This window comes from Homo sapiens, chromosome 1 (genome assembly GCF_000001405.40).
Source record: "Homo sapiens chromosome 1, GRCh38.p14 Primary Assembly".
Classification (NCBI taxonomy): Eukaryota; Metazoa; Chordata; class Mammalia; order Primates; family Hominidae; genus Homo; species Homo sapiens.
Genome location: NC_000001.11, coordinates 166,066,370 through 166,080,510, shown reverse-complemented (window position 1 = coordinate 166,080,510; position 14,141 = coordinate 166,066,370). Strand labels below are relative to the sequence as shown.

The following is a 14,141-nucleotide window of genomic DNA, read 5'->3' as shown; positions in this document are numbered from 1 at the left end:
CAGACTCTCAGGACAGTGCCTGGCATTCAGGTTAAGTGTGAGCTATGATCAAGATGATGTTATCAGAACTATTAATATACTCAGCTTTAGAACCAGAGCCTGTCTTGGAGATCCCCTGCTGTGCCTGTGTAAACACTTTAGTTGATTAATTTTTGGAGACATGGTGGTGGGTAGCTGAGGAGGAACCTGGGTGGCCAAAGAGAAGGCATTACGGGGAGGGAGAGGGGTCGTTTAGCAATTGTTCCAAAAATGTTTGAATATTTTAACAACTGGCATGGTCATAGCAGTGTGTATCAGCTAATCTCATTCATGACTTTTATTATTTTTCAGAGCTTTTGGACTCTTAATTTTGTACTAGGGAGGCATCATGAGAAAGCATGTGTTTAGAATCAGACCTTGGGTTCACAGTTTGATTCTGCCCCTCACTAGCGGAAAGATCTTGAGCAAGTTCCCTACTGCATAATGGAAAATAGAAAGATGCCCACCTCATGCAATTGATGTACAAAGTAGACGTGACACTGATTGTAAGGGTGCTTTGTGCATGTTAAGACTAAACAAGCAGCAGTGAAACCACACGTAACAAAAGGAAAACATTCCAGGTTGGAACTGTCCTGGGTTCCAGAACTGTGCATCTAGATCTCCCAGCTCTGCCCATCCCTAACAAACATTTGAGGCTTCGGAGTATGAATACAAAGGCCAGGGTGCCATATTTCTCAGTATTTATAAGTTATAGGTCAGACTAACAGAGGGCTGAATCAAGTAAGTTCTATCCTCCTACCTAGACAAGTATACCTTTGTAAAAACCTGAAGGCTATGTTTACATTGAGGATTCTTGGACTCCTCAAAGTTTTGTGCCAGAACCTAGCAGCATAGGAACAAGTGACCCTCAGCCCCTAGCTCCACCTACTTCCCCTCCCACCCCTGGCTCTGTACCACATTGAAAAAGATGTTCCATCACACATTTGCATGTGGGCACCCAACACATGGTCCCAAACTCCATGCACACCCCCAACAAACAGCCACCCTCTGGCCACCCCGTGGGCCCAAAAGTGCATACACAGTGGAGTGGACTGCCCTTGGAAAGACAGGACAGTGAAAAGGCCTGAATAGACTCTGGAGGTATGTTTAGGGACATTTGGGCTGGAAATATTGAGATCCTAGGTACCCAGAGAGTGTTCTCGAAGGAGGGGCCACCCTCTCAGCACCACAGACTTCTTACCCAGTGTGAAAGAGCATGGCCAGAAGATACCAGAGTGGGTCTCTTAAAAGGGTAAGGCCAGCCAGACACAGTGGTTCATGCCTGTAATCCCAGCAACTTGGCGGGCGGAGGCAGGAGGATCCCTGGAGGCCAGGAAGTCAAGACCAACCTGGGTAACATAGCAAGACTCCATCTCTTTTAAAATGTTTTAAAATTAGCTGGGCATGGTGGTGCATGCCTGTAGTCCCAGCTACTCCAGAGGCTGAGGCGGGAGGATCACTTGAGCCCAGGAGTTCAAGGCTGCAGTGAGCTATGATTGTGCCACTGTGCTCTAGCCTGGGTGACAGAGTGAGACCCCATCTCTAAAGAAAAAAAAAAAAAAAAACATGTAAGGCCAGGCCAGGGCTCCTCTCACCTGGGTCTAAGGGTAGTACTGCCGCAGATTTCAAAATCTGCCCTAGAAGCTCTCCAGGCTTAAAACCGTCAGTCCTCCATGTGTGGTTCCCCCTGACTCCCAACCCACACCGCATCAGGGGACATTAGTATCAGTAGAGTCCCTGCATAACTGCCCACTCCCTGCCTCCAAGAATGTTGCTGCCAGCCTCTCCCCAGACTCCCCAGTGACTGCAGGGCTTCAGGGGGAGCAAAGTGGGGTTCTTTTCAGAGAAGTTGCTCTGCCCCTCAAAGGCAGTGGGAGAATTTGTTGGGTCTGAGTGGAGTCTTGACCTTAACCCATGGACTGCTTATTTGAATGAAATGCTTAACATGATGTTTGATTGAAATTTACCTCTTTCTTCTAAAAATGGGATGCAGAAAGCATGAACGTTGCCATAATCAATGTTTTCATTATTAGGCCCATTGGCAAGTCCATTAGCTGTGAGCTTTGGGTCAATAGCTGATTGTCTAAAGCAAAAACACTGTTTATCACAGTGAGGAGAAGGGTTATAGGAGAAGGAAGGGAATTAGATAATAACTAATATTGACGGCCAGGCACGGTGGCTCACGCCTGTAATCCCAGCACTTTGGGAGGTCGAGGCAGGCGGATCACCAGGTCAGGAGATGAGACCATCCTGGCTAACATGGTGAAACCCTGTCTCTACTAAAAATACAAAAATTAGTTGGGTGTGGTGGCACATGCCTGTAGTCCCAGCTACTCGGGAGTCTGAGGCAGAAGAATTGCTTGAACCCAAGAGGCGGAGGTTGCAGTGAGCCAAGATCATACCGCTGCACTCCAGCCTGGAAACGGAGCGAGACTCCATCTCAAAAATATATATAGATATATTTTATTTTGTATATATATTTATTATATATATAATTATATATATAAATTATATATATTTATTATATATATAATTATATATATAAATTATATATATTATTATATATTTATTATATATATAATTATATATATAAATTATATATATTTATTATATATATAATTATATATATAAATTATATATATTATTATATATATAAATTATATATATTTATATATAATCTACATATAAATATATATAATTATATGTATTTATTATATATAATTCATATATAAATATATGTAATTATATGTATTTATTATAATTTATAAATATATGTAATTATATGTATTTATTATATATAATTTATATATAAATATATAATTATATGTATTTATTATAATTTATATATAAATATATAATTATATGTATTATATATAATTTATATAAATATATAATTATATGTATTTTATATATATAAATTATATATAGAGAGAGAGACATTGTGTGCTGTAGTTTACAAAGCATTTGCTCCTACATCATCACTTCATTTGATTTCTGTAATAGTTCTGAGATGTAGGGAGATCTGGAGTTATTTTTCTTCCTGTTTTACACATGAAAGTATTTAGCTGTGCTAAGTACTTCCCATTCATTATCTCATTTAATTCTCATACCAAGTACATCAAGTAAGTACTGTTATTATCTTTATTCCTTATTTCTTAGATGAGGAAACAGGTACAGAAAGTTCACACAACTAGTAAGTAGTAGCACTAGGTTTACAGGCCTAAGCAGTCTGCCTCCAGAATGCTGCTTTCAGCCATGATGCTGGACCAGCTCTCTACTTCATCTCTCTTCTCCCCTTTGTTGCCCAACTTCTTCTCGTTTTTTTCTTGTGCTTGTTAATTCCCTTGCAGAATGGCTTCCACCAGCATATCTTTACTGCTGTCTTGAAAATTAACAAGTCGAATGGCTTTTTCTCTTCAATTTCTGTGGCTTTTGACACTGCTGACTCCCTGAAATTCTCAACTTTGGAAATTAGTTCTCCTTTTTTGCTGGCTATTCCTTTGCTTTTTATACTCTTCTTTGTCTCTGGCCATGTGACAGGTCTGTCATCCTCAAAGAGCTCACCCAGCACCTGATCCTCTCCATGCAGATGGTTGCCAAATTTACATCCCTAGCCCTGACTTTCTTCTAAGCTCTGGACCCAACTTTGCAATTAACTCAGACACAGTGTCCGCCTATTTAGTCAGTTCCGCAAATGCAGCAGTGTCTAAATTGAAATTCATGGTCTCCACTCATCTTTCACTTCAGATCAATTTGATATGTATTCAACAAATGATTTTGAACTCCTATTTTCCCAGCACTGTTCTAGGTACTGGAGATATAGCAGTGAATAAAATATATAAAAATCCTTGCCTTAGGGATTATATTTGGAGAGTAGGGTGAGGGGAGACAGACCGTTAGCAAAATAAGTAAGTTATAGTGTATTAGAAGGTGCTGTGGAGAAAAAATAAAGCAGAGATGTGGGATGGGGAGCACTGGGGCAGGAGGTTGCAATTTTAAATATGGTTGTTAGGAAAGATTGCAGTGAGAACGTGGTATTTGGGCCAAGAATAAGGGAGGCAAGGGAGCAAGCCTTTCAGATATCCAAAGGAATATTTTTCCAGGCAAAATGAACGGTAAGTGCAAAGGCCCTCAGGTGGGAGTTTATTTGGCATGTTCAATGAACAGCACAGAGGCCAGAATGGGCAAGAGGGAGAGAAAAGGAGATACAATCAGAGAGGAAATAGGGAACCGGATCATGTAGGGCCACATGAGCCATTTTAAGTAGCTGAGCTTTTCCTGAGTGCTTTAGGAGGCATGGAAACACTTTGAGCAAGAAAGTGACACGATTTTACAAATATTTAACAAGATCACTGTGGCTGCCATGTTGACAATAGAACAGGGACGCAAAGTTGAGTAATTAGCAAGGAGACCAGTTAGAAGGCCACTGCAGTAATCTAAGAGAGACAACTCTAGCTTGGACCGGTGTCATGGTGATGGGGATAGTGGAAAGGAGTTGAATTCTAGATATATTTTGATTGCATCCACAGGATTTGCTGATAGGTAGCATGTGGAATGTGAGAGAGTGGCCAAGAGTGACTCCAAAGTTTTTGGCAAGTGGGCAGGTGAATATATGGATTTGGAGCTCAAGGGAGCAATCCAGCCTAGAGATACAAATTTGGAAGTTGTCACAGTGCAGATGGTACTTAAAATCATGAGACCAGATGAGATCACCAAGGAAATGCAAATAGATAGAAAAGAGAAGAAGACCAAAGCCTAAGCCCTGGGGCCCTCCAATGTTAAAAGGTTGAAAGATGAGGCAGAACTAGCAAAGGACACTGAGAAATAAATAATGAGATATAAAGAGAAACAAGATTAGTAAGTATGCATCATGTGCCAGACACCATGCTCCAGACAAAGGATGCAAAGACAAACACAACCCCGTCCTCATCATCCTCATGCTCTAATGCAGCAGTCAGGTACTACACCTTGAAATACCATTGTGATTGGTTCAGGGATGGGTGTAAAATGTCAGGGACAGTGAGACCACAACCTTGTTACTTCTGTGAATGATTACACACACACACACAATCAGCCATACTTGCCTCTTCTGAGTGATTCTTTTTGTTTATTTATTCTTTTGTCTCTAACAGGCAATTGGTTACCAAACCTTGAAGAATCTACCTTTGTAATATCTCTTATATGTGACACCTCCTGTCCATTTTCTCAGCCACCAGTCTAGATGAAGCCCTCATTAAAGATCACCTGCAGTGTTGCAGAAGCTCCTAAACATCCTCGTTCCCTCCCTTTAACCCTCTAATCCTACTTTTTTCATTACTCTTCTTCCTCGCAGTTAACTCTCCTGAGCAAAAGTCTCACCACCTCTAGGATGCAGCCCAGGTGCCTAAACCCGTTATTGAAGGTGCTCCACAAACCGATACTACCCTGCCCCGCCAGCAGTGTCTTCACTCTTCCCAGTGTTCTCTGTTTCCTGGACACTCACATCCATGCTTGGTATCACACTTTAGCCTGTGACACAGACTCCCACCTGGAATGCCTATCTCTATTCCAAAGTGTTCATATGCCATTTCCTTCACAAAGCTTTTCCCCTGCTGTAGCCTGCATGGTTGTCTGTGTCTCCAAATTGCTGTATCACTTGGAGTCTCTGACACTCATTTTTGTATGTAGGTATATGATGGCACGAGTAGTCACTAAAATACATTCATATTCACTACTTCATTCACTTTCATTTAAATGTGCCTCCTCCTTTTAAGGATAAGCAACTTTCCGTGCAAGGCATGATACTATTCTAATAATAGATTCTAAATGAATAGATGTTAGATTTTTTTTAAAGGTGAGTAAATATATAAAGTATAAGACTGTAATAAAACACTTTGTCGTATGCAAGTTCTACCAAGCTCCAGGAATATAGTCATGAAAATAATTCAAATAAAGTATTTACTCTTTTAATAAATAGTTATTAAGTTTTATGTGCCAGCCATGTGCAAGACACTAATGATTCAAAAATAAGTCATAATTCCAAGGCTCAAGAAACCTGTAATCTAATGAGAAAGACATACAGATCGTTATAATATAATCTGACACCTGTAGTTGTAGATATATCTATGAGTGCATGGAAGAGAAGGCTTCCTGGAGGAGGTGATACATATGGTGATTCTCAGAGGATGAGTAGTAGTTCGATACAGTGGAAATTGAATAGGAGGAGGAACAGCATAGGCAGAGGGCACAGCAGTGGAGGTGAGAAAGGCATGGTGTGTGGAGATGGGGAGGCCAGATGATGGAGAGCCATGTATGTCCTGTTAAGGTACTTGAATTTTACCCTGTGGGTGATGCCAACGATGTCCATATAGAAAAGCCTTGGAAGGATTTTATGTATAGAAAGAGCATGATCAGATTTGCATGTTTGAACACTTGGACAACCTAAAAGATGGATTTGAGAGAGACCAGAGTTGGATGCAGAGAGACAAATTATGCGCCATTCCAGTAGACCAGGTAAGAGATGCTGAGGGCTTGGATTAAGTGAAGGCAGTAAGAGTTGGGTGGGGAAAAGGAGATAAATTCAAGTATCACTTATGGGGCAAAATTCACAGGATGCAGTGATACAGTCACTGTGGCAGCCTAGGGGAGGGTGTGGAAAGAGCCAAAGATGGCCCTTACTTCTGACCTTGAAGATTGGGTGAGCAGTGGGCCACCCCTTGCAGAGAGACAGGGGAAGACGGCTTGGTTTATGGTGGAAATGATGAGTTCAGTTTGAGCCATATGGAGTTTGAAATGCCTCTGGCATTCCATTCAAAGTAATCCCCTTAAATGGTCATTGAGTGACTCAAATAGTGCTACTGTTCTTGGAACTTTTCAGAGACTTCTCGAAAAACCATTACCAAAGACATTTTATCAGCTACATAAACTAGTCATGCATTTTATAGACACAACTCTCCTTTTGGAAAAAAAAAAAAAAAGAGAGAAAGAGAAAGGAAGGGAGCGAGAGATAGAGAGAGGGAAGAAGGGAAGGTCACTGCCTTGGGGTGTACATTAGTATCTATTTTTCATAAAGGAAAAATTTGATATTTTTCAGATAGCAACTCCCTATTCACTAGACTTAAATCGTAATGAATTTTGGCTGTTTCCAAAATCAAACCATCCCTTAATGATGTAGTCCTAATTCCCTAGGGCTATGGAAGAGAACATGCCTCTGACCTGAGGAATTCCCAAAAGCACAGTTGCAGAAGTAACAACAGTGTGGATGGAACTAAAGTGTAACCTCCAATGTCACTATTCCCAATGACTACATGTGGCCAGATGTGTTTGTTCTGATGTGATGATTAAGAAGCCTGTTGTATTTCTCTGTTCCAGAAACTCCTCCAAGAAAAGGGTATTTTCCTTCCCTCCTGAGATAGCCACAAGAGTGTGTCTTTATTGTATTATCTCTGTTTTTTGTTGTTTTGTTGTTGTTGTTTTTCAAAAAACCTAGGACCAAACTAAGTTTTATGATTTGTCTTACAAGGCTGACTTGCAGACCCTGGGCCCAAGTCTCTGCTCACACAGCTCTGGGCAGGAAGATGGGAGGCAAAAATATGAGAACTATAAAGACTCTATAGACAAAGCAAGATAGCCTGAAAAGGACTGTGTTGTAACAGAATAAAAAGTACATCCACTCAAAACCAAATTCCCCAGGCAATACGCCACAGTAAGCCCTGTGTGTAGCGGGGGAGAGCAAGAACAGTCTGCCACTGCTCGGAATACCTGCCCTCCAATTCTAAGAAGGAACTCAAAGGCCAGCAGGGACTGGTCACAGCCAAAGTGTAAAACAAGATTTAGGCAACACAGGAAATAGATGTATTGTGACTGAAGAATTGTCTTAGCCCTTTGCTTGGGGGCATGAAACCGACTCCAGTATGGTTATTTCATGAACCCAATGAGCAGATTGGATCTCTGCACAACCTCTGACCCACTCAAAGAACATGTACTCCCTTTTGTACAGTAAGAAATGGCATAGAATTACCTGGGAGCTACTACCCCCCAGCTGCAAAAGCATATGTAGCAAAATGAGCTCTCTCTGACTTTCTGCATCAGGTCAATTCCTTACTTAGTGTCTGCCAACCATGATACACTGCAGCTATTCCCAGCAGTTACCAAGGGCATGACAAGAAAAAAGGCTCTTGCAGCTGTGGGGTCACCTCCTCCCCAGGCAGCCAAGCCCTCCCTTCACTTCAGGCTGGGGCTGACTGGCCTAGGAGGTACTGTAGGGGGTCAGTAGGAGGCAGTGGTTAGTGTCTCCATGTCCCCATGTGATAGTAAGGGTGCTGAGATGTTAATCAGCACTAGCTTGACAATGCAATTCCCTTTAAGACAACTTGTATAAAACCCTGCAGGATCTTCTGTCACCTCATAGGAGGAAGAACTTTATGTCAAAGAAGACCACTGCCTCTTAGCTGATGAATAAAGCAGTCTCATCTCTTTAATTATTAAATTCTAGTGCATTATTACCAAGCATCATCCCTGGTACCCGGAGCGAAAATATGGAGCATGCATCAACACTCTGCTGACTAGACTTCTGCCCTTACTGGGGTCCAGTCCAGTTCTCCATGACTGACTGGTCTTGGAGCTGCTAACTCATTAGACAGCCTGAGTCCTCTCCATTCTAACTCCCTCCAGCGCTGTGTAAGGGTACTTTGGGAGGCAGTATGATACAGTGGCCAAAACCAGGGACTTTGAAGTCAGACAACTCTCAGCTTCACCTCTTGGAATCTTTAGGACCTTTGTCATGTACCTTAACATCTTTAAGCCTTCATCCCCTTGTGTGTAAAATGGAAATAAAAATGTATTTATCTTGTGGAGTATTTTGAATACTGACTGAGATAATGTACTTAGCACAATGGTTGTAATAGAGTAACACTCAATAAGTATCAGCAATTATTATTAGCAACAGTCTACAGCAGGGGGTAGAGACATTGGTTCCTCCTCCTCCTCCTCCTGTACAAGGTCAGAGACAGCCAGGAGGAGTAGGTAGGTGCCAGAATGGCAAGTTTGCCAAACTAAGCTGTGAGGCTTCCAGGCTGGACTGGAAGGCAATGGGAGAGCGGTGCATTAGAGTGTATGCCAGCCTGTAGAACAACTTTCACATTCAGATGGTTTCCAGAAGATGACCATGATTTTCTCATGTTATGATTTTCTATGCCTAAGCGATGAATTGGCTGATGCCTAGAATTTAAACAACCCTCTTTGTTAAGTAGAAATTCTATTACTATGATTTCCTAAGAAATTAATATAACCTTTAACTTTGCCTCCTTTTGCCCTTCTTTCCACCAGATACTGCCTTCCAAGTACATCGAATTTCAACCATCATTTCTTCCCAAAAAGCAAACCTTATTCACATTCATATTTCCAAGAAAGTGGTTCTTGTAATGGAATTCCTCTAAACTGCTGATTACCATCATCTAACTAGTTGATGTCTCTTTGTGGTCTCACAACTGCCTTTTTGAGCTTCCTGTTCTCAATTGGGTCAGCCATGGTTGTATTTAACTTGTTTTGGCATGGCTTTGTTATTTTTATTTTGGTTTGTTCTCATTTAATCCTGAAACAGCACAGCATAGAACTTTTTGCCCTGAATTCCCCCTGTGAACTTCCCATTTTGCCCAAGTTGACTATGTTAGTAAGCAGTGAGCACCTCTCCAGCTTTTGAAAAATTCATTCAGCCTCTTCTTTTCTTGTGCATGTCTTCTGCTTTGCCAGGTCAAGCTGGGAACTGCCTGACTTGAGGGAAGGGAGAGTAAAAGCCATCAGTGACTCAGATGGGGTGAGCTACCCTTGGTACGGGAACACCACAGAAACTGTGACCCTGGTTGGCCCCACCAACAAGATCTCCAGGTTCTCCGTCAGCATGAATGACAACTTCTACCCCAGTGTGACATGGGCAGTGCCTGTGAGTGACAGCAATGTGCCACTGCTCACAAGAATCAAGAGAGACCAAAGTTTCACGACCTGGCTGGTGGCCATGAACACCACCACAAAGGAGAAGATCATTCTGCAGACCATCAAGTGGAGGATGAGGGTGGACATTGAAGTGGACCCTCTTCAGCTCTTGGGGCAGCGGGCCCGGCTGGTGGGCAGGACTCAGCAGGAGCAGCCCCGGATCCTGAGCCGGATGGAACCCATCCCCCCTAATGCACTAGTGAAACCCAATGCCAATGATGCCCAGGTCCTCATGTGGAGGCCCAAGCGGGGGCCACCTCTGGTTGTGATCCCTCCTAAGTAGAAGCAGACTGGCCTGACTGTGTGTGGATCACACGCCTCTGAGACATGCAGTGAGGGTGCCAGGGGTGGCAGGAGCCAAACAGAGTTTCTGAGCCAAAGCAGACCTCTCGGTTTGCCAGCCTTTGCAGCCACTTTTGAAGAGTAGGGCTGCTCCTTGGGTGGTAGAACCATAATCCTTAGGAAAAATCCCTTCCTCTTAGGAATAAAGAAATCACTGATTTGACAGACTTGCTGTGATTACCATGCAAGTAGCCATATTTTGGAGCTGACCAGGATGATTCTTTTATCTGAACTATTGACCATTTCTTTCCTGTGAGATGCAGGGGATGGAAACGAAATTAAACAGTGCCTGTGGCAAATGCTGCTTCCCAGCCAATTAGAAGTAGGAGTGAAAACATCCACACCAGGTGGTCGTAAGACAGACTCCTGCTGTCTGACTGGAGGGTGCTGGGGAAATGGGTGGTGAAAGAATGGGTGATGGGGAGAGGAAAGAATAAGGTTTTATGACACATTAATACTTCTGCATTTATTAGTTGATAATCAGATCAACACACTCAATGGAATGAATGCTTAGAAAACTAGACAAATACTGATATTTGCTCCTTTCTGAGGGAGAAAGCCTCCTTGGAACTGTCCAAGGTGCTGATGTGAACTAACGGAAACACTTCATTAGTTCCGTCTACCCACCTCTTTCCAAAAAGATTGCTTATTCAGAGTATTTTTAATCACAGTATTTGGCTTTGTAATTCCCACATTCTGCAATAGTTATGATATTTGGGGCCCTGTCCATGTTTTAGTGAAATCCTAACTAACTTGATTTTGTTTACAGCTGCTTATTCTGTTCCCATGATTAGCCCTAAATTTATATTTAAAAAGTTATGAGCCATGAATCCATGTAAGGTTCAAGAACATTTCAGCAAATAAGAACAGCATTTTCATTCTGTTTCTTTTGAGTTTCTGAATGATCTGAACATATGGAATGGACACGTGTATGCATAGACACACACACACACATGCACACATGCACACATGATGCATATAGCATAATTACTAGCATATTTGCCACCAGTGCCTACATATCTACCTGTAGCCTTTCTATGTACATACGCTGTATATTTTTATATATATTTATTTTAGCTCTATTTCACAGAAGCTCAAACTTGAACATTTGTGAGAAACTACTTCCTAAGGCTTAACTTAACTTTAGAGCTCTTCAAAGAAAATCTAAGCTACTCATGTTAAGCAAGCCTGTATTGCTAAGATTTAACCAGTAAAGATGAGAGGCCAGGTTTCCTTTAGTCAGGCCAATATACAACTTCTTTTTGAGGGTTTCCAGTCTTTAAGTGAGGATTTTTGCAGTTCTAGCTTGAATCACCCTTCCTCCCCCACCTCAAAAAAAGAGCTTTTCCCTTTATTCTCAATAATTCAACCATATATATGGTTGTATATATATTTGCTTGTTCACCACCCCCTTCCATGCAAACTAATTATAAAACTTTCACATTGTCATTGTGGATTTAAGAAGTAGACACTGCTAGCTTAATTTCAGAGGGAGAAATTTGAAGTTCAGAGCAGTTTTACAATCTCATGGTTGGCTCCAAAGAGCTGTCTTCTACTAGAGTTTGTGGATAGAGAATAAAAAGCAGCAGGGTTTATTACTTTTATTAAAAATTCAATTTAGTCTAATTTATTTCAGATTCTAGTCCCAGGGGATGGTACTTACTTACATAAGAGTGCTAAGAGATCTGCTCCAAATTATGTAGTGTTAACTTCACACCCCAACCATCAACTACTCTGTTATAGATTAGTTATTGATGGCAAGTTATTTATAACAACACATTAATAATACATCAGTGGCTCACAGAGGACCTGGAGACATTCATTTAGAAATAATTCAGCTGTTATGTTTGGCATTCTCTGTCCCTTCCCATGTTTCCTTGTTTTATTTGGGAAAGGCAGTCCCAGAGAGCTCCATGGCTAAAGTACAAAGCAGCTTATTTTCCATGCTGACACCACAGGCAGCACTCTCTCCCCCAGACTGAATTAGACTCCACCCCTATGGGATCCTGGGGAGTGGATACTGACCCTAGAATCTAATCCATGTGGCCCCACTTTAAGAAAACCTGGTATTTTAAACTCCAAAGTTGTAACAAACAACAGATTAATTAGAATTTACATTACAAAATGCTATACAAGATTTATGTTTGCAAATTCCCCTAGTGCATTAAAATAAGATATGACTTACACAACTATATTTACAAATAACTTTTTCAGAAGCTTATCTATATATCTAAAGCAAGGTGTAGCATACTTAGCTAGGCTTGTTTCCCATGAAAAATCACAGTTTTTCAGAGTTTTAAAAGAAATTACCCCCACAGCAGTTTTCTGGGAAGTTGTATAATGACAAAATGAAAAAAATGGGAAAGTGCTTATGAAAGTTAAAAGCACTGTATACATTGTGATTATTGTTATTGGTACCATTGTGAACTCTACAGTTGGGTGTCTCAGCTCTGAAGTCAGCCTGGCAGAATGCTCTATTGCCCTTTAGCCAATTATTTTCAAGTTACTGTTGTTTTACAAGGAAATGACCCCTTTTCTTCCTGTGATTTGTGGATCATTATCTTTCAGCTTAGTCAGGATATTGCCAAATGAAAGTCTCTTGTACAAGAGAGAATTAACCTTGAAATCTCTGTTGAGGTCACCTCTGCCCTCCCATCCAGCCCTCCTTCCCCTCAAAATGCCTGGGCCTGACGCCAGATGCCATCAGTTTAAAGGGGCTCATTTAGTGCCTTGATTAAGTTTTAGTTGGGTGGTCTCAGGACTTAGACACACACACAACACATGGCTTCTTGGTGGCACTAGAGTTTTGAATTACGTAGGAAAAAGCATTTCATCAGGCCTTAAGTTTTCTTAATCAGGTCCTTTGAGATCTTTTAGTCCATGATCCCGAAGGAATTTGAGGCCTCGTTAAATTAGGTCATCTATTCAGAATGGTATACCTAGCCAGCTGAAGAGCCAAGAGAAGGCCCCATCTCCCAAATTTCATCTCACAACATGGTAACACTTAGCTAGAACTCACAGCCTCTTGTCTCCAACCAAAACATTATCATCATCCCTAATCCATTCACCCACAAACCAATGAGTCTAAAACTAGAGACAATTGGATCCGTCCTTTAAAGAACAAGAGGAAATCCTTGTTACTATTATGTAAAAGAAAATTTGAATGTTCCAGATTCCCTTTATCTGTGACAGCTGTTTTGAGGTTGAACCCTTAATATGGGCCCTTCGCTGCATGCAGTTTACATTCCTGGGTCATTGCTGTAGCTCACATACCTAGCCAACTGAAGAGCCAAGCACATCTCCCGAATCTCATCTCACATGAGATGGGGGCACATGAGAGAGTTGGAGACTAGTCCCCTACCCACCTCCCATTCTGTGGACCTTTTTACAACTCCCTGTTTCCTGGTGCTGGAATGATAATCTCATAGGTCAAAAGCATGTACTAAGCAGCAATTCTGATCAGTAAAATAAAAGAACTATGATTTATAGAGTATTTTTACAAAAGCCTTCCACATGCATTTTCTCATCCCCAGTCTTACGAGTGTAATACTGATGAGTAGTATTATTCCCATTTTCAGATAATAAATTGAGACCAAAGAGGTTAAGTGGCATATCCATGAGTACACAAACAAAATGTCAGGAGCCAGGATTGAAATGGGGCCTTTTGGCTCCAACTTCCATGCCCTTCCACTATCCTGTTCTGCCTCTCCTGTTCATCCCTGACTAGAGGGCACAAAAGAAAAGGAAGGAAAGGAGAAAGCTAGTCCCTTTCATCTACACTGTCATGTAGTCTCTCCCAATCTATTAAATGG

General features: G+C 41.5%; 1 protein-coding gene across 4 annotated transcripts in view, besides 1 other annotated feature; it reads left to right on the top strand.

The window, feature by feature from the left end:
• The window catches only part of FAM78B (family with sequence similarity 78 member B), a 111,084-nt gene that overhangs the window by 86,491 nt on the left and 10,452 nt on the right, over positions 1-14,141 (top strand). The window contains exon 2 of one of the 4 annotated variants that reach the window (NR_135199.2): positions 9,748-10,679. The exons of 1 other annotated variant lie outside the window; for it this stretch is intronic. Coding sequence is in view for 1 of the 3 variants with exons in the window: in NM_001017961.5 (NP_001017961.1) it covers positions 9,748-10,270 (523 nt within the window). In the remaining 2 variants the exon portion in view is untranslated. Of the gene's footprint in view, positions 1-9,747; positions 11,213-14,141 lie in introns of those variants that run through there. 2 more of the 4 variants (NR_163271.1, NM_001017961.5) reach the window with 2 other exon arrangements.
• Positions 10,812-11,012: a silencer, noted in NCBI's record as "peak439 fragment used in MPRA reporter construct". NCBI's record gives its function as "represses an SCP1 promoter by STARR-seq MPRAs in K562 erythroleukemia cells {active_cell/tissue: K562}" and the evidence as "EXISTENCE:reporter gene assay evidence [ECO:0000049][PMID:32103011]".